We start from the raw sequence: 15106 nt of genomic DNA on the forward strand, positions 1-15106 counted from the left end.
CATTTAATATCCCGTGCATCTTTAAAAAATATTGTAGAGCATGTACAATTAATAAATATATCTTTTTTTCTTATTTATTTATTTATTTAGAGACGGTGTCTCGCTGTGTCAACCAGGCTGGAGTGCAGTGGCGCAATCTTGGCCCACTGAGACCTCCGCCTTCTGGGTTCAAGTGATCCTCCTACCTCAGCCTCCCAAGTAGTTGGGATTACAGGAATGCACCACCACACTTGGCCCATTTTGTATTTTTAGTAGAGATGGGGTTTCTCCGTGTTGGTCAGGCTGGTCTTGAACTCCCGACCTCAGGTGGTCTGCCTGCCTTGCCCCCCAAAGTGCTGGGATTACAGGTGTGAGACACCTCACCCGCTGTTTTTTCACTTAATTCAGATGCTTTAAATAATTAACAGTCGTATGTTCATTATTTGCTAACCTAACACCCTGTGCTGGATATTTGGTAGGTTGTCCCTAAAATTTATTACAAATGATGTTGAGATGGATATATTCCTATACATAAATATTGGTTTGCATTATTATTATTTCTTCAGACTAGTTTCCTAGAAATAGGTAACTGGATCAAAGAATCTGAGCAGTTTTCTGGATTTATGCCATGTTTACCTAAAGCATACCAAATAACATTTCCACCAGTAGGGTATGTGAGAGTACTGCATGTATGTTTAAAATAGATACGATTTTTTTTTTTTTCAGACAGTCTCACTCTGTCACCCAGGCTGGAGTGCAATGGCATGGTCTCCACTCACTGCAACCTCCACCTCCCGGGTTCAAGCGATTTTCCCACCTCAGCCTCCCGAGTAGCTGGGACTACAGGCATGTGCCACCACACCCGGCTGATTTTTGTATTTTTAGTAGAGATGGGGTTTCACTATGTTGGCCAGGCTGGTCTCAAACTCCTGACCTCATGATCCACCTGCCTCGGCCTCCCAAAGTGCTGGGATTACAGGCGTGAGCCACCGCACCTGGCTAGATATGATTTTATTAACATTTGTAATGTGCAGTATTCTGGGTGTATGCCTGCATCCCACCAGGCATTTAGGAGGCATTATGAGAAGGGCAGGCAGTTGAAGAATAGTCCTGACTCCTTCCTGGCTGGGGAATGTCATGTGAGAGCTGGCATTGCTCTGTGGCTGTTGGTTTCTTTAGCCCAGGTTAAAGCCCGTCTCTAAAGAGGGAGACACAATCTTAGACCTGCCAAGTGGCTAGACTGGTGTGATCCAATCCCTGTGCCTTATTGTGACTCTTGTACCATAATGACAGCCCTGTGCTTGGGCTGCTGAGTGTGTGCTGTGGGTGAGATGGTTAAGCACCAACAGAATGGGCTCTGAGGCCTATAGCCATCCTGGCTTTCCCCAGCAGACTTTGAGGAGAGCATCTGGTTACATCTGTATAATTTCGAACTTGCTTCTAGGACAGAGGGCTTCCTACCACCTAACCATGCTCCCTCTCCCCACCAATAAAACAAGGAAATAAAAAAATTTTTGTGTGAACATCTTCCCTGGTTCTTGGGACCTGCGCCAAGCTGTAAAAGGGCTTGTGACCTCGTTCCTGTGGTCAGTGGGTCCTTTGGCCTGGGAGTGTGCTGTCTTCCTGCCTTGGGCTTGATTTGTGATCAGAAGTGGTGGGGGAGTTAATCACGGCACTCTGTACGCCTATCCGACTGGGGTTAGTAAGTTCCAGTGGCAGGGAGCAGGCTGCCTGTAGCTGGTGGGCAGGTCCCTAGAGTCCAGATTCCAGTCTGTGGGATCCAGCCTGGTGTGGCTAGTATGCCTTCTGTCCTGGCACTGTAGGATGGCAGCTTTGGCAGGAAACGAAGCACAGTACATGATGTAGGGCAAAGGTGTGGAGTACCCTCAAAACCCTGGGTTCCTGAGCTGTCCAGGTTCCTAAGCTGTCCATGCATGGGAACCACACTCACAGCCTCTGCCGAAGAGTAGAGACTTTGGGATAGAGTTAGCTCCAAAGTGGGAGTATTTGAAGTGAAAAATGATGCCTCAGAACTGATACTTCAGCCTGGGAAAGGGATAATGCTGGAGAGAAATCGCAGCCAGCTTGGACATCAGTCCCGGGGGCAGCCACAGCTTCTTTCTTCAACTCAAATCCTGGAGATTTGGGCATGCAAGGGCCTGTCGTGTTGTGGCGCTTTCTCAATCACCAAAGTGGGACTAGGGCAGAGCAGGACAGCCACAATTGCAGGTGACCTCCCACCTTTTTCCCTCTCAGCTGGCACTCCCCTACCCCTCTTTGTTCCTTTTCAGGGTGTCTGACCAGCAACCTGGCGATTTCTTCCAACCTGACCGCTTTTCTTGGGGCTTGAATAGTGTCAGAAATGCCAACCCCTGGACTAGGCTGCCTCAGTGACTTCTTTGGGGGCCCAGGTCTTCTTGCCTTAATCTTCTTGTTTTTCCACTAGGTCACCCCTCCTAATTTCTCAGTGTCACAAGTGCCCAACATGCCCAGCTGTCCCCAGGCCTATTCTGAACTGCAGATGCTGTCCCCCAGCGAGCGGCAGTGTGTGGAGACGGTGGTCAACATGGGCTACTCGTACGAGTGTGTCCTCAGAGCCATGAAGAAGAAAGGAGAGAATATTGAGCAGGTGAGCGGTTGGTCAGCCAGGAGGGCAGGCTCAGACCTGTGGAGCTGGAGTAGTGTCCTCCCCTGTCCTAGAGCCCCTCAGACTTGTAGCACCAACCTCCTTTCCTGTGGGTTTGTGAGGACACGGGGCATGTTTTGGGGAAAGCCAGCAGCCTTGGGAGCAGTACTTCTTTTGGAAGCTATTCCGGGACCCAGGCTGAGAGACAGCTTTGGGAGAATTGGAGCTGTTCTCCAACTACCCCCTCCTTTCTCTGCCTCTCCAAAAGGGGCAGAGCTAGGCTTGGGGTATGGTCAAATGTCTCTTTCCAGGAATTTTCATCCTGTCATCTATGCCCAGAGTGTTGAATTAGGGTACTGGAGTGTTAGACCTTGGTGACATTTTCTGACTTGGGCTGTTTTCTTAGAGTAGCCGCCTGCCCAGGCTGTGGAGTTGACCATTCTGGTGGGCGTGTCAGCTGTGGCTGCAACTCCTTTGGAAAATGCCTGCTCCTGTTTAGAAGGCTGTGCCTGTGTTCATTAAAGAGTCACTGGGGTCCTGTTGTGTTGGACACAGTCAAGGCACAAAATCAAATCCTATCCAGTATCTGACGGCCTGGGTGGGGCGGAGAACGGACTTCACACACTAGTTTGTTGAGGTCTCTTGGAAAGCACAGCAAAGAGCAGCAGTAGGTGCTAAACCCCTTGTTTCTTTTCTTAGATTCTCGACTATCTCTTTGCACATGGACAGCTTTGTGAGAAGGGCTTCGACCCTCTTTTAGTGGAAGAGGCTCTGGAAATGCACCAGTGTTCAGAAGAAAAGGTGGGAATCTTCATGTTTCTTGGGAACCCTCTGGAAAAGGAGGGACCAAGTATCCATCCTGGTTTTCTCCCTTGGCCCACACACAACCTTTTTGCTTTGCCAGTGACTACAGGTACAAGTATTTGAAGGGCAGAATCTCCCAAGTATTCAGACAGGCCGAGGCCTGCGTTTGGCTTGGTGGTTGAAGCATTGGGTTGAAAACTTCAGAATCCCAGTGAAGGGAAGGGAATATTGGCCTGGGCTAAAAGCCAAACTTCTTAGATGATTAGGGAGGGAGATTGCTGGACTTTTTGCCTAGACTGCTCTTTGAAGAGCAGCCATTTCTGGGTTCAGTATCCTTCCTTGGTGGGAAGATGGATGTGGGTGGTGGGACCCAGACAGAGCTCAGCAACAGTGAGCTGGGACTGGGCTGACTCCTGAAGGTTGATGGCCGTCACCAAACCCGTTTGCCTTGGCTTCCACCACAGCCCACCTCTGCTTGCTAGGGGACCTTATGGAGACTCACGGGGCTCTGGGGGAAGGATGTAGACATTCTGCTCTCCCCCAGTCCCCGTCCCACACACACACTCCTTCACTCAGCTGTGCTGTGACCCCACCCTTTTCTTTAATCTGTGTTCTCTTCTCTCCCTTAGATGATGGAGTTTCTTCAGTTAATGAGCAAATTTAAGGAGATGGGCTTTGAGCTGAAAGACATTAAGGAAGTTTTGCTATTACACAACAATGACCAGGACAATGCTTTGGAAGACCTCATGGCTCGGGCAGGAGCCAGCTGAGACCAGGCCCTGCCTAGGCCCTGCCGCAGAACCACCATCCCTGGGAGGCCCTGCAGAGCCCACCTGTGGGGAAAGAGAAGGGGCAGCTTCCGGATTTTCTTTTGGGGGTTAGAAGGTCAGGTGTGGAGACTGCTCGCCAGTCTCTGTGAGCCTAGGCCCTGAGCTGGGGAGGTGGGGAAGATTCGGGCATGTGAGTGCCCCCAGAACTGTCCTGGCTCCTTCCGTATTAAACGCATTTGCATTTTGAGAAGTGTCCTTCCCACTTCAGCCCTCCGGAGAGACTACCCTAGTCTTTCTGGGGTGTTTATGTCCTCAGCTGAAGCCTGGCCTAGTTGCTGAGAGGGGCTGGGGAGATGGGGCGGGAGGGCCAGACTCAGTGCTGCTGTGGAGCTAGGTGCTTCCCCCTTCCCCTGAGACTGGTGGACTGAACTCCAGTCAAGTTGAGTTCAAGTGAAAGATTCTTCCAGGGTTTTATTTTTTCCCCTCCTAACAAAGTCTCATAGTGTTAACACTGGTTCTGCAATATCTCTGAGGTGCAAAGAATGCACTTTTCCCTATGGGGCCCAGAGTTTGCCTTTTCTGCCAGGCAGTCACCATGCTTCCCTACCCCAGCCTGTTTCTTTTGGCTTGGTTTGGACCACAGTCCTCTGCTACCCAGGGTTTTAGAGCCCCTGCTCTAGGAAACAGTTTAAGAAATCATTGGCCCCTTCCCAGCACATTGAATGGGTAAGCAGACAGGCCATGATTTAGTTGGCCAGCACTAACTCCACCTCTGTTCTCCTTGAACAGCTTCCCCTCCAGCCCACTGCTTTAGGATGACACAATGAATAACACCTAGTCATAGAAATCAGTCTCTCTGGTTTGTTTTGTATTATGTTGTACATCATTAAAGATCTAAATACAAAGGATATACAGTCTTGAATCTAAAATAATTTGCTAACTAACTATTTTGATTCTTCAGAGAGAACTACTAATAAAAATCTAAAAGGTATGTCTTGGTGTGATAACTTCTTTATTACCAAGGCTGTTTTATGGGAGTGGGGGGGCCATGTGGTGTATAAAGAGATTTCTTGCTTAGATTTGCTGGGGATAGAATAGGACCTAACCGTTTTCTATTTCGGAGCTTTCTTCCCACTTCAGACCTGTCCTCGTTTTTGGTTTGCAAAGGCAAGCCTAGACTGAGTCTTTTAAACCTGGCCCAGCTCCGTCTGTGGACCAAGGACGTAGGCCTTCCTGACTGTGGAGTTGGGATAGGCTGGGCCTTCAGGGGGATCACCCAGTAAAAGAGGAAGAAGCCCTTTTACTGTGAGCAGCAGGCATTTATGCATCATTTGCCACAAGCAGAGGATGGGATTTAAACTGTTTCACCAGCTCTCAGTGGTGCTGTTGTATATGATGATAGAATAGGGTTCATTCCTAAAGTAAGTAAGTTTTTGTCCTTGACCTTAATACTGTGCCATTGTCCCACTTGAGCTTTTGGCTAGACTGGGTCTTTGAAGGTTTTTAGTGATCATGTGAGGGAGGGGCCGCAGTGCCCTGCAGCCGGGAAGCACCAATAAGGATGCCCCCTGGCGGTCAGATGAGGCACTGTCAGGCTGACAAAGGGTGACTGGACCAGGCTGCTAGTGTCTCAAGAGAGCCATTTAACCCTCTTCTTGGCCTTTTAATTAAGCCCTCCTTTTAAAACCGTAAAAAGTTATCCTTTATCTGAAGGAAATAAAGGCTCACATAGTAATGGGCGTTCGGGCCAAGGCCGTGACTCATGAATCTCCATTTGACCCAGAGTGGCTTTAAAGTAATTGGCACCTGGAGGCTACTTTGTCTTCCCTGTCCTGAGCTGCTTCCTGCTAAAAAGATACACAGCAGGCAGAACTTGGCTGAAGGTTTGTGTGTGAATTCTGTTTCAGAGGCCTCAGACTGTTGAACAGAGCACTCTGTTCAACTGCCAAGGTTCCCAACACAGACCCCTGAGAGGCAGGGTGGCTGGGCAGGGTGAACTGGATGAAGGCCAGGCTAGGAGATGGACTATTCCATGAGGGGGCTGGGTAGTGAGGTGTCCCAGATAGGAGCCAGGAGCTGCCATGGAAGCATGAGAGTATCGGGCATTGTACAGAGGCCTTTCACCCGAGCAAAAGTCAGGAGAAAAATTGATGTGTGACACAGGCACCCTCTTCTGCCTCAACACTGGATTGCAGGAAGGGAAGGGAGCTGTAAATATAAGGCCTGTCTCACATCTGCTGCTGTCAGTGACACATCAAGTCAAGGTTTATGCTATTTACATTTTCAAAAACGCCTCTAAATCCCCAAATCAATCTCCAAGGGCTGATGGGGCAGAGCTCACCCCACCCCTGTCCCCCTAGCACCAATGGTTAAGTTTGGGCCAGTGTTTAGTCTTCTAAGTTAGGCACAGAATTCAGCTGGTGAAGCCTCTGGTCTCAGCATGTTGTCTTCTCTGTCTTGTGACCTCTGACCTCTAGGCTACCACTGACCACCCCATCCTCTGATCCCCAAACTTAGAAACTTCAGGGTTATTAGACCCAAATATATTCCCACAGGCAAGGGGTTAGTTAATCATATTCTCTAGGCACAAGGGAAAGGCATTAGGTTCTTCGGCCTGGCCCACCCTTGGAGGCACTCCTGTGCATGGAACTGAGGGACAGGGGCCTGTCCCTGAGGGAGAAGCTGGGACCTATCTGAAGCCACGTGGGGCTGGGGTGACGCTAGCATAGGCAGGACCAGCGTGTGGGTTCTGGTGTGTGCAGGGAGGACCTGGCAGAGGCTCCTCCAGCCTGAGAGCCCAGCACAGACTCCTGCAGGGCCCCCACCATCTCGGCACAGGGTCTGGCTCTAAGACGGCACTGTTCCCTCAGGGGCTGCGGTGGGCCCGTGGCAGGTGAGATAGAGCTGCAGCTGGCTCCTCAGACTCTGGATACACTTGGATTTCAGAACCATGATTTCATCCAGCTGGGTCACAAAATCTTCAAAATCCTGAGAAGGAAACAAGGGACGAATACAGCTTTTGCTCTTGCTGGCGCTCTGCCAGATCTGCTTTTTCAGTCCCTCCTCTGGCAGGAAAGTTTCAGAACCCAGGCCACTCTTCCAGCGGGAGAACATGTAGGATAGTTGCTATGGCACAGGGTGGGGCCTGCTGCTCTGCATTCGAGACACTTTCCAAGCAGAGGAGTATTTTGTAAGGCAGAAGGGTATTTGGTAGAAATACCTACGTGTGGTAGGCAGCAGACTGGTCACTGTTAGTCACAGGGAGGGGCCCCGACAAACCGCTAGGAAGGCAGAGCAGCTGAGGATAGAGGCTGGAAACATTTTAGCCTGGAAAAGGCGAGTGTTGCACCATCTCCCACCTGTACCTATACTCAAGATGTCTCAAAGGCGTGGCAAGAGGAGGTGTGAGGCCTCAGTTATGGTTAGTGTGTGCCAGGAGACCCTTTCCCCACACACAGCCACAGCAAACAAGGATGACCATCAAATTAGCTGCAGGCTAATTCCCAACAGCCTGTGAGTGTCCAGCCAGGGCTACTTACATTAGAAGCCAGCTGGCTCATCAGCGTCTCCTCCTTGAAGCCGAGCTCAGCCATTTCATCCAGCTGTTCCTGGTGTGCTCGGATGACCACCTGCCTGGGAACACCAGAGAGAACACTGTGATCTTCCTGGCCTCCCAGCCTCTCCTGGGTAGCTTTCTGGAGGTGATCTCATTTGTAAGCTGAGAGCTGCCTCTGCCGAAAATGGTCAAGGTTTTCACCAAGGCCAGCTTACCAACCAGCTCCCCCTCACCTGCTCTTTCTCAGGATTAGGTAAGGAATTACGGAGTACCAACGAGATACAGGGAGGGAGACAGGGGCTTCCCAAGTTGTCTCCTGCCTCCCCAGCTGTACTGAGGGGGCAGGGCTGGGTGCTGCTGCTCTTCCACAGGAGCTGCCCATTTCCCACAGCTTCCCTGCAGAAAGGCTCTCAAGGCTGTGACTGCAACTGGCATACTTGGCACAAGATGGAGCCTATTGCCTGGTCTGCTATCATTTCTACTTCCTGTGGAGGGCCCGGGACCAAAGCAGAGGGTTGGAGCTAGAAGCAGACTAGCTCACCTGCGTACCCCTGCATGGCTTCTCTTTGTCCATGACAAAACAGTAAGCTGGAGTGGAGGGTGGGTGCCAAAGGGGCTCAAGTCTTAGGGAAAGTGTCCAACTTACTGCGCTTGCTCCAGGGTGGGCTGACGGAGTGTCCCTGCAGTCTTGGGAGAGCAGCTGGGAACCAAGGGAGAACTTGGCCTTGCTAAGCACCTTGAGATCGGCCTGGGTTTGAGCCATGTGACATTTTCACTGTTGCAGGGCAACTTGATGGGGTCTGTGGACAAACCAAACTCCTGCCAACCAAGCCTTGTAGGATGTTTTCTCTCCTGGGCCCAGAGCTGGTCAGCCACATCACTACTTCCTGTTCGTGGGGTGAGTGTAGGTCCAGAATGGGGTACCCCCATATGTATGGTGGTGAAGGGCTTTCCTGGGAAACCCCAGGAGCCATCCAGCCCCGTCTCCTCTGCATCAGCATCATACTGCTCACTACCCATGTGTTCGTGGGAGAAAAGTACAGTCTCTCTGCTCTGGCAGGCCTCTCCTAGGTCTGCCTCCCTGCTGGGCAGCTTGTCAGCTGGGTGCTGACGGATGGGTGATGGGGACAGAGCTGGAAGATCACCACCAGGCTTATTATCAGGGGGAGATGAGGACAGCCACAGGTGCCTAGTTGCTGAAGACACTGGCAAGGCTGCCTCTTGATCACCAGATGGCACTGTGTGGCTCACAACTGGGCCCCCTGTGCTCTCTGCCACTAGACTGTGCGTAGCCCCATCCTGGACCAGCTGCTCCGAGGGAGGAGACCCTTCGTTGTCTGGGTTCTCCAGGAGGGACATGGTGAGGGGAGACATGAGTCCAGAAGCATATTCAGCATGCGTGCCTAACTGCCCCCTAGGATCCTCTCCTGGGACAGCATGACCGTTTTTCACAGTGCTGGTCACCTGGATTGGGCCGTCTGCACTGACTTCTCTCAGAGGTGTGGTGACTGTGTCTCTTTGGTCTGGGGATCCAGGAACTGCAACGTGGGACAATGAGATAGTGAAACCATCTTCCTCTGGGGATGGCAAGTTGCCCTCATTCTCCCCAGAAACCTCACTTTGGGAGGCATCCTTTCTGAGATCAAAGGAAGAGCCTCCACCTCTTTCCTGTCTATATATGAAATCTACCTGTGAACAGTATGGCTTCTCTGCCAGGCTGTCTCTGGGAGAAGGCCCTGAGGAAGTAGAGTTCTCTCTGCTCCAGTCCACGGGCCCCTTACTTGGGCTGCAGCTGTGATCGAGTGCTGCTCTTCTGTGGTTTATGGGGTCCCTGGAGTCCACCCAGCTTTTAGTTAGATCTTTCTTGTCACCTGTCCTGGGGCTAGAAAACAGACTCTGCTGTCTTTCTGCCACCTGCTTCTCAGGACCCTGTCCCCACGTCTGGTGCAGGAAGAATGAGTCTTCGCTATTCTCCAGGGTGTTCCTTTGCTTTGTGGCCCTCTGACTAGAGATGTGTGAAAAAGAATCTTCACTGAAATCACTGTCATCAAGTTCCTCTACTTGGGCTCCATCATGGTTTTCAGAGTAAGAGTGGAACAGAGGCGGAGTCTCATTCGTGAGCTGACCCTCTGGGGGCCTGTACTGGCGTAAAGACCTTTTCAGTGGTTGGTATTTTAACTTCTGTTGGAGGAGAGGTGGCTGTTGGAACTGCTGGTGATAGAAACGCAGATGTTCCTCCCTCTCCTTCTGATGTGGCGGGATGTTTGTCCAAGCTTCAGAGGCAGGCCTAGCAGGCGTGCCCCTCTGGCTGTCTTGACTGTACTCAGCCCTGTGGTGGGCGTTGCCAAAGGAGAGCTCAACTCGAGACACAAGCTGCTTCTGTACTGGCTGCACTGTCTGCACTTTCTTGCACTTGGTGGACAGCTTACCACGCACTAGGCCTTCTCCTGGGCCTGAGGCCCTGCTTTCCCACCCAAGGACAGTTTTGTTGCCCATTCGATTTTTCTCAGAGCACAATGGTGCTGACTCTTCTGGCTTTTTTTTGGCCACATGTCCAGAGCGCACAGTTCCTTTCACAGGGCTAGCATGAATGACCCACTCTTGTGAAGGACTCCCTCTGGAGCCACCCCTTTTACCAGAGACCTTAGGTGCAGAAGTAAAAGGAATGTTGGGTGGGTGGCTGGTCAGAGGATGGACCTTCCCTCTCGTGGAACCAGGGGCTGCCACTGTGAGTGACTGCTGAAATCCCAGCTTGACTTTTTTGGGAGAACATTTGTCCTCTGACAAAGCCCCAGGGGAGCTCTGAATTCGTTTTGGAGAGGAGTTTCCAGATGTCCGATTTCGACTGGTAACTGAAGTGCAACACTTAATGCCTTTCTTTAGTTCTTTGACCCTGTAAATAATCATTTTATGTTAAATGTGTATTTTCACATGTTCTGCAATTCCTTTTCTATAGCTTTCTGGGAAAACAAAAACCAAAGAAAAGTATTACAAGGATTGGGAGTTATTTCTTTATCTGGGATAGAATAAGAGGAAAAGGGAACATTCTGTTTCAGCATGAGATATCCCTCTGTACCTGAATGAAAAAGAGCAGTGTTGGCTGGTTGTAGTGGCTCACATCTGTAATCTCAGCACTTTGGGAGGTTGAGGCAGGAGGACTGTTTGAGCCCAGGAATTCAAGACCAACCTGGGCAACAGAGCAAGACCTCATCTCTACTAGAAATAAAAAAATTAGCCAGACATGGTGATGCGTGTCTGTAGGCCCAGCTACTTGGGAGGCTGAGGCGGGGAATATTGCTTGAGCCCTGGAGTTCAAGGCTGCAGTGAGCCATGATCACACTATTACACTCCAGCCTGGGTGACAGGGTGAGACTCTGTCTTTAAAAAACAAACGAGAAAGAACAGTGTCTTCTCTGAGGATGTAAGCATGCACCCAACATTCCATGATCAGAAGAAGCCTTTTGGAAATCACCACAGCCCCATGTAAGGGACAGGCCAGAGACGCCAGTCTCAGAAGTGCACTGTGTTTATGCAGGGCCCACACTGCTTCCTGGAGAGAGGCCAACTCAGGAGTTCGTGTCCACCACTTACCTGCAATTCCACAGAGTCCTCTTTTTCTGCAAACCACCCCCTTTCAGGCTTCTCTAGGAAGATGAGTTCCCTCAAACCTGCTGGGACCTCAGGAAGCAAAACCTCCAGAAATACACAGGCTTGTGCTCATTCCATGAAAGGAAAAATGACTTGTCTATTCCCAGGGTTTCTCAACCTTAGCACTATTGACATTTTGTACCAGATAATTATTTCTTGAAGGATGTTTAGCAGCATCCTTGGCCTCTGCTCACTAGATGCCAGTAGCACTTCTTCCCAGTCATGGCAATCAAAAACATCTTACCTACTAGGAGAGCACATGTGACCACAGGGTGAGAGATGGAAGGGATCCCAGCAGATACCACAGTCACCCACAAAGAGGCCTGGCCAGGCAGTCAAGAGTTGCTGGCTCTGACACCAACTCCTAGTGAGCCTTTGGAAAGATCCTACCCTTCTCTGGACCTCAGTTTATCCTCTAACATGTTTGGGTTGGGCCCTTCTGGACACAGATAGCTCTAAGTGATTCTGCCTTGACAAGTAATATGTCTTCTATCTCTTACAATTTGGGCTGAGGCCAGCAGGAAGAAAACAACACTGAGCCTTCCACCCATTAATATTTCACTTCTCACTAGCCATTTAAAAGCCACTGACAGAATTAACTCCTGAACAAGGGAATGTGTCATTTTCCTCTTGTCATGCTTGCAAAGTGACAGGGCCTACCAGGTCACAGTCTTCAAATGACTAATTGCCAAGAACAAGGCTGTGGCGCTCAAGGTCAGATCCCTATGTGTGTGTGAGTGGGAGAGACATGTGCATGCACTTGCACACACACACGCGTGCACACATGCTCACACACGCGTGCTGCACAGACATGCACATGCACACTTACACACAACCTGCCATCTGGGAGCTGACTTACCGGTCAGCATAGCGCAAGGTGTTGAGAGTGTGTTCAGTGGCCACGTGGCTTGGTGAGATGTTGGCGATCATGCAGGTTTTGGCATTGCCGATGAAAGAGTCCTTCAGGACCTGTCCAAAACAGAAGGCAGGTCAATGAGTGAAGTCAATTAACAAAGTGCATACTGACTACTTACTAGGTGCAGGATGCTGGGCCATAGTTCCCTTCTGTCCACAAAAAGGTAATTAACATTAACAAAAGAAAAAATACAAATGGCCAATAAACACAGAAAAAGGTACTCACCACATCACTAATCCAAAAAATGCAAACAAACCATTAAAAAAACCAATATTTTTAACTCATTAGATTAAGAGACTAACGATGCCATTCCTTGGTGAGGGTCCAGGGAAATGAGTACTCTTCTACGCTAGCATGTACCATGAACTGGACAAGCTTTCCAGAGGGCAGTTTGGCAATATGTATCAAAATGTAAAAAGAAGCCAGGTACAGTGGCACTCACCTGTCTGTAGTCCCAGCTACTCAAAAGGCTGAGGCAGGAGGATCGCTTGAGCCCAGGAGTTCAAGACTAGCCTGGGCAACATAGCAAGAACCTGTCTCAAAAACAGGAAAAAGTATGTTTTGGTTTGGCAATCACACTTCTAGGACTTTATCCTAAGGAGATAATTGCCCAATTGACCAAAAAAAGTATATATGATATTCATTACATTATTTATAATAGTAATATTTAGTAAAAATCTAGGTATCTATAAACAGGGAACAAACTAAATAATTATACACTGAATATAATAAAACCATTAAAAATGATTATACCTGTACTTAGGAACACAGAAAGATATCTAAAGCTTCTATCTTCGAGGGAAAAAGGTGTATGACTCCATAACTCCGTAAGCAGATCCATATGAGGCTATGCGGGCAGAGAGATGACTAGAAGGAAGTTCACTAACGTAGCAGTGTGTGGTTATCACTGAGGTCTGGGACTTTATCTTTTACTTTCTTCTTTATACTTGTATGTACAATTGGAATTCTTATGTTTTAATTAAAAAGAAACACATTTTCTGGAAATGGGGAACTTGTCTTAAAAAATAACAGAGCTGGCTGGGGACGGTGGCTCATGCCTGTAATCCTAGCACTTTGGGAGGCCAAGGCGGGCAGATCACCTGAGGTCAGGAGTTCAAAACCAGCCTCGCTAACATGGCGAAACCCCGTCTCTACTAAAAATACAAAAGTTAGTGAGGCATGGTGGCACACACCTGTAGTCCCAGATACTCCAGGGGCTTGTGGCAGGAGAATCGCTTGAACCCAGGAGGTGGAGGTTGCAGTGAGCCAAGATCACACCACTGCACTCCGGCCTGGGCGACAGAGTGAGACTCCCTCTCAAAAATAAATAAATAAATAAGTAAAAAGCAACAGAGCCAATGCCAGAATCAGGACTAACCACCTATAAGTAGGTTCCTGGGTCCCTGGTTAAAATCATGTTTGAGAAGACCTAACCTACAGATCACCAACTGTGATGGGTAAGGAACTATGTTTTTACAGGTTCTGCCCAAGTACTATGGAGCCGCTACTCTAGCTGCACAGAATAAAACTCTGCCCATGTGCGGGGCTGGCTTCATCCTGCAGCATACAAAAAAATCTTCTCCTAGACATCTCTCTACCTTGTCTGTCTTCCACTGTGCACAGGACACAAGGCGAAAAAGAACCCAGGACACCCACAACTGTCTTCACAGCTGTTTATACCTAGGTACACCCTCCCATGCCACTCTTCCGCAGCCATTATGAATGCTGATTTAACATCTACTGGAGTTTTTTGTTAATAAAGAGGCACACTTTCATGACAGAAAAACAAAACAAAACAAAAACCCTATTTGTTCCACTAAGAATAATCATAGTTAACATTTATGTCATTTTTTTGTGTAGTGTTTTTTTCCATGTCGCACATTTTAAAAATGATAAAAACAGAAAGTGGTCATACAGTACATGATCTTTTAACATGAAAAGTTGCAGTTTCACCTTTACTCCCATTGTTACTTCCAAATAGATCCAATGCTGTTTCTTCTGCATCTTTTTAAACGTTTTTCCCTGTGTGGCTGCGTAATAGTAGAAATCATATAGGCAATCACATTATTACCTTGTTCTACAGCTTGCTTTTTTCACATCACAATAGATCTTGGTCATCTTTCCTATCAGTACATATAGAAAATCTAGCTCATTCATTTTAACTGCCTGAAGCCATTATTTTTTTGTGCCGAAACAGTGGTCTAAGTCTTAGAGCCAAGAAAGTATCAGGTAGCTACGTCACCCTATTCAATGCAAAGGCTTAGAGATTTCACTAATTCAACATTTTCTTTTCTTTTTTAAGATGAGGTCTCTTTTTGTCGCCCAGGCTGGAGTGCAGTGGCGTGCTCACAATTCACTGCAGCCTCAACCTCCAGGGCTCGAGTAATCCTCCCGCCTCAGCCTCCCAAGTAGCTGGGACCATGGGCCCACAGGCACGAGCCACCACACCCAGTTAATTTTTAAATTTTTTATAGAAAGGTTGTTTGGGCTGGTCTGGAACTCCTGGGCTCAAGTGATCCAATTGCCTCAGCTTCCCAAAGTGCTGGGATTACAGGCATGAGCCACTGTGCCCTGCCCAGAGTTACCATACACTGGAAATAAACAGAAAGGTGGTGACCAGAACAGCACTGCTCTCCCCAAGGAACCCCTGCCACCCCATCCTGAAGATATCCCTGCCTGAGTCTGCCCCTTCCTAAAGTCCTATGACAGGCTGAGTATCCCTTCTCCGAAACGCTTGGGAAGAAAAGTTGTTTTGGATTTCAGATTTTTTTTCAGATTTTGGAATATTTGCATTATCCTTCTGGTTG

At 48.9% G+C, this 15106-nt stretch overlaps 2 protein-coding genes across 21 annotated transcripts in view, besides 2 other annotated features; one reads left to right on the forward strand and one right to left on the reverse strand.

The window, feature by feature from the left end:
- The window catches only part of UBAP1 (ubiquitin associated protein 1), a 73519-nt gene extending 68349 nt beyond the window's left edge, over positions 1–5170 (forward strand). For all 11 annotated transcript variants that reach the window (NR_033243.3, NM_001171202.1, NM_001171201.1 and 8 more), the window contains 3 exons: positions 2426–2608; positions 3305–3406; positions 4039–5170. Coding sequence is in view for 10 of the 11 variants with exons in the window: in NM_001171202.1 (NP_001164673.1) it covers positions 2426–2608; positions 3305–3406; positions 4039–4179 (426 nt within the window). In the remaining variant the exon portion in view is untranslated. The remainder of the gene's footprint in view (positions 1–2425; positions 2609–3304; positions 3407–4038) is intronic.
- KIF24 (kinesin family member 24) overlaps positions 5027–15106 on the reverse strand; it is an 81292-nt gene continuing 71212 nt past the window's right edge. For 9 of the 10 annotated variants that reach the window (XM_011517863.4, XM_047423343.1, XM_047423340.1 and 6 more), the window contains 4 exons: positions 12243–12352; positions 8382–10628; positions 7719–7812; positions 5027–7167 (listed from right to left, as the gene is read on the reverse strand). In XM_011517863.4, coding sequence (XP_011516165.1) covers positions 7027–7167; positions 7719–7812; positions 8382–10628; positions 12243–12352 — 2592 coding nt within the window. In that variant the 3' untranslated portion in view covers positions 5027–7026. Of the gene's footprint in view, positions 7168–7718; positions 7813–8381; positions 10629–12242; positions 12353–14252; positions 14330–15106 lie in introns of all 10 variants that reach the window. The other variant, XM_006716764.4, reaches the window with a different exon arrangement.
- Positions 5795–5844: a silencer, noted in NCBI's record as "silent region_19843". NCBI's record gives its function as "represses an Ori minimal core promoter by ATAC-STARR-seq in GM12878 lymphoblastoid cells {active_cell/tissue: GM12878}" and the evidence as "EXISTENCE:reporter gene assay evidence [ECO:0000049][PMID:35858748]".
- Positions 7046–8245: an enhancer, noted in NCBI's record as "CDK7 strongly-dependent group 2 enhancer chr9:34254397-34255596 (GRCh37/hg19 assembly coordinates)". NCBI's record gives its function as "activates an origin of replication core promoter dependent on BRD2, BRD4, P300/CBP, MED14 and CDK7 cofactors, with strong dependence on CDK7, by STARR-seq in HCT116 cells {active_cell/tissue: HCT116}" and the evidence as "EXISTENCE:reporter gene assay evidence [ECO:0000049][PMID:35650434]".

The sequence above is a fragment of the Homo sapiens genome, chromosome 9 (genome assembly GCF_000001405.40).
Source record: "Homo sapiens chromosome 9, GRCh38.p14 Primary Assembly".
Taxonomy (NCBI): Eukaryota; Metazoa; Chordata; class Mammalia; order Primates; family Hominidae; genus Homo; species Homo sapiens.